This window comes from Homo sapiens, chromosome 3, assembly GCF_000001405.40.
Source record: "Homo sapiens chromosome 3, GRCh38.p14 Primary Assembly".
Lineage (NCBI taxonomy): Eukaryota > Metazoa > Chordata > Mammalia > Primates > Hominidae > Homo > Homo sapiens.
Window position 1 is genome coordinate 161,652,998 of NC_000003.12, and position 4,710 is coordinate 161,657,707.

Consider the following 4,710-nt stretch of genomic DNA (forward strand, 5'->3'; position numbering starts at 1 on the left):
CGATGGCTCATGCCTGTAATCCCAGCACTTTGGGAGGCCGAGGCGGGCAGATCACGAGATCAGGAGATCGAGACCATCCTGACGAACACGGGGAAACCCCGTCTCTACTAAAAAATACAAAAAATTAGCTGGGAGTGGTGGCGGGCGCCTGTAGTCCCAGCTACTCGGGAGGCTAAGGCAGGAGAATGGCATGAACCCGGGAGGCGGAGCTTGCAGTGAGCCGAGATGGCGCCACCACACTGTAGCCTTGGTGACAGGGCGAGACTCCGTCTCAAAAAAAAAAAAAAAAAAAAAAAAAGAATTCCCTATCTCTAAGGAAATCTGCTCTATACCATAATATAAGAGACAAGGGGCAGAAATATGTGCATGATCTTCAAAAAGAGCTTATAGCATATGGGGTCAGTTACGGATGGAGTGCTGTTGGGAAAAGAATAAAATAAACAGATGTCTTTATTTCAAGTTTGATTAAGATAATTACCACCAAGATAATGGAGTGCAATGGGGATTCTAAGGAGGAAGAGATTATATGTAGAGAGGGGGATTAGAAAAAAACTTTGCAGAGGATTTACAAGATGAATACATTTTAACAGATGAAAATAGAGGTAGAGATGGCAGTATTTTCAATAAAGGAACCAGCTCTCTTTCATTCATTTGAAAACAAATTGTTAAGCATCTACCCTGCCTGAGGTAAAAAGTGGCTAAAATAAATAAACATGCTTTCTGAATTCCAGAAACTTTCTTTTCCTTTTTTTTTTTTTTTTTAAATTTTACTTTAAGTTCCAGGATGCACGTGCAGAATGTGCAGGTTTGTTACATAGGTATACCTGTGCCATGGTGGTTTGCTTTATCTATCAATCCATCATCTAGATTTTAAGCCCTGCATGCATTATCTATTTGTCCTAATGCTCTCCCTTCCCTTGCCCCCAACCTGCCGACTGGCCCCAGTGTGTGTTGTTCCCCTCCCTGTGTCCGTGTGTTCTCATTGTTCAACTCCCACTTACAGCGATAGTTGGTTTTCTGTTCCTCTGTTAGTTTGCTGAGGATGATGGCTTCTAGCTTCATCCATGTCCCTGCAAAGGACATGATCTCATTCCGTTTTATGGCTGCATAATATTCCATGTTGTATATGTACCACATTTCTTTATGCAGTCTATCATTGATAGGCATTTAAGTTGGTTCCAAACAAATGGAAAAAAATTCCATTTCCATTTGTTTGTGTCCTCTCTTATTCCCTTGAGCAGTGGTTTGTGGTTCTCCTTGAAAGGTCCTTCACATCCCTTGTTAACTGTATTCCTAGGTATTTTATTCTCTTCGTAGCAATTGTGAATGGGAGTTCATTCATGATTTGGCTCTCTGTTTGTCTGTTATTGGTGTATAGGAATGCTTGTAATTTTCACACACTGATTTTGTATCCTGAGACTTTGCTGAAGTTGCTCATCAGCTTAAGGAGTTTTTGGATTGAGACGATGGGGTTTTCTAAATATAGAATCCTGTTGTCTGCAAACAGAGACAATTTGACTTCCTCTCTTCCTATTTGAAACTCTTTCTTTCTTTCTCTTGCCTGATTGCCCTGGCCAGAACTTCCAATACTATGTTGAATAGGAGTGGTGAGAGAGGGCATCCTTGTCTTGTGCTGGTTTTCAAAGGGAATGCTTCCAGTTTTTGCCCATTCAGTATAATATTGGTTGTTGGTTTGTCATAAATAGCTCTTATTATTTTAAGATATGTTCCATCAATACCTAGTTTATTGAGAGTTTTTAACATGAAGGGCTGTTGAATTTTATTGAAGGCCTTTTCTGCATCTGTTGAGATGATCATGGGGTTTTTGTCATTGGTTCTGTTTATGTGATGGATTACATTTATTGATTTGCATATGTTAAACCAGCCTTCCATCCCAGGGATGAAGCTGACTTGAGCCTGGTGGATAAACTTTTTGATGTGCTGATGGATTCGGTTTGCCAGTATTTTATTGAGGATTTTCGCATCAATGTTCATCAGGGATATTGGCCTGAATTTTTCTTTTTTTTTGTTGTGTCTCTGCCTGGTTTTGGTATTGGGATGTTTCTGGCCTCATAAAAGGAGTTAGGGAGGAGTCCCTCCTTTTCCATTGTTTGGAAGTTTCAGAAGAAATTGTACCAGCTCTTCTTTGTATCTCTGGTAGAATTCAGCTGTGAATCCGTCTGGTCCTGGGCTTTTTTGATTGGTAGTCTATTAATTACTGCCTCCATTTCAGAACTTGTTATTGGTCTATTCAGGGATTCGACTTCTTCCTGGTTTAGTCTTGGAAGGGTATATATGTCCAGGAATGTATTCATTTTTTCTAGATTTTCTAATTTATTTACATAGGGGTGTTTATAGTATTCTCTGATGGTAGTCTGTATTTCTGTGGGGTCAGTGGTGATATCCCCTTTATCATCTTTTATTGTGTCTATTTGGTTCTTCTCTCTCTTCTTTTTTATTAGTCTGGCTAGTGGTCTATTTTGTTAATCTTTTCAAAAAACCAACTCCTCTGTTCATTGATTTTTTCAAGGGTTTTTCTTGTCTCTATCTCCTTCAGTTCTGATCTTAGTTATTTGTCTTCTGCTAGCTTTCAGATCTGTTTGCTCTTCCTTCTCTAGCTCTTTTAATTGTGATGTTAGGGTATTGATTTGAGATCTTTCTAGCTTTCTGATGTGGGCATTTAGTGCTATAAATTTGCCTTAACACTGCTTTACCTGGTCCCAGGGATTCTGGTACATTGTCTCTTCATTTTCACTGGTTTTAAAAATTCTTGATTTCTCCTTTAATTTCATTATTTATCCAGGAGTTATTCAGGAGAAGATTGCCAAATTTCTATGTGGTTGTGTGGTTTTGAGTGAGTTTTTTAATCCTGAATTCTAATCTGGTTGCACTGTGGTCTGAGAGACTGTTATGATTTCTATCCTTTTGCATTTGCTGAGGACTGTTTTACTTCCAAGTATGTGGTCAATTTTAGAATAAGTGCTATGTGGCACTGAGAAATTTGGTTGATTTGGTGTGGAGAATTCTGTAGATGTCTGTTAGGTCCACTTGATCCAGAACTGAGTTCAAGTCCTGAATATCCTTGTTAATTTTCTCCCTTGATCTGTCTAATATTGACAGTAGGGTGTTAAGGTCTCCCACTATTATTGTGTGGAAGTCTAAGTCTGTTTGTAGGTCTCTAAGAACTTATTTATGAATCTGGGTGCTCCTGTATTGGGGGGTGCATAAATATTTAGGATAGTTAGCTCTTCTTGTTGAATTGATCCCTTTATCAATATGTAATGCCCTTCTTTGTCTTTTTTGATCTTTGTTGGTTTAAAGTCTGTTTTGTGAGAGCCTAGGATTTCAACCCCTGCCTTTTTTTGCTTTCCATTTACTTGGTAAATATTCCTCCATCCCTTTATTTTGAGCTTATGTGTGTCTTTGCACGGAGATCGGTCTCCTAAATACAGCACACCAATGGGTCTTAACTCTTTATCCATTTTGCCAGTCTGTGTCTTTTAACTGGGGCATTTAGCCCACTTACATTTAAGATTAATATTGTTACGTGTGAATTTGATCCTGCCATCACAATGATAAATGAGGACTAGCCACTGCAAAAACACCAAAATATAAAGACCAATGACACTGTGAAGAAACTGCATCAACTAGTGTGCAAAATAACCAGATAGCATGATGATGACAGAAACTTTCAATCTAGGCAGATACACCCGATTGTCTTTCATGTTCCAAGAAATGTCCTGTCTGCTACTAGAGAGCTATGGTGTTATGGTGGTGTCACTTAGTAATCCCAGTGGCAAAAATCCTTCCAATTTTCACCAACAAATTCTTCATAAGATGATTGGGAAATTCTCAGGATTTTGTTTTTCTAATACGCTCTGACACACTAGTTTTCCTCACAACCAATTACATTGCATTGGAATAGAGGTAATGGGAAGGAGGCCTTTTAAGTGTAGACCATTTACAAAAGTGTGAGCCATATGGATGTTCATTCTCTTCTGACTTCTCTCTCTTCTCAGTTCTCCTTTTTTTTTTCCGTGGAGACCTTGTTTTCAGACCCATGGGGTCTGGTATCCTGCCATCTCTCAGGAAGTTTTAGTTTTTCTCACAAAAGAAGGTTTTAGCTGAACATTCTAGTGGTTTACAAATGCAAGACTCTGATATTCCTTCTATAATCAGGATGTGATGACTCCAAAGACAGGATGGAGGGGTGTTAGAAGGCTTCAGTCCTGTGTGTGAAGGTGTGACCTTTAATTACATTCACTTTTCCTCCCAGCTTCCTAGGAAGATAACATACTTTTTCAATCTCATCATCCTTTTTCTTCCCTTGAGAAAAACTAGTCTATTTTAATATATAAAAAGTATATTTCCCTTGTTGGTATGATTTTAGCCCTGCCCTTTGTGAAATAAGAGTCCTGTAAATATTGTGATGAGAGCATTGGACTCTTGGGTCTTTTTTATATTACAAAGAATCTCACCACTCCAGCTCTAATTGGTTCTTTCTTAGCCATCTGGGATAGGTGGTACCAGCTCTATTTAAGTGCTTTCTGATTCCAAATCTCTCCTAATAGAAGGGTATTTGTACTTGTGTGTATAAGTGCGTGTGATTATGGGGAGGTCAGCTTCTTTATGAAAACCGTAATATTGGGGAAGTATTAAAAGAAAGCTGGTGTGTCTTGGATTAGAAATGAACTTAATTATTAAAAGCCA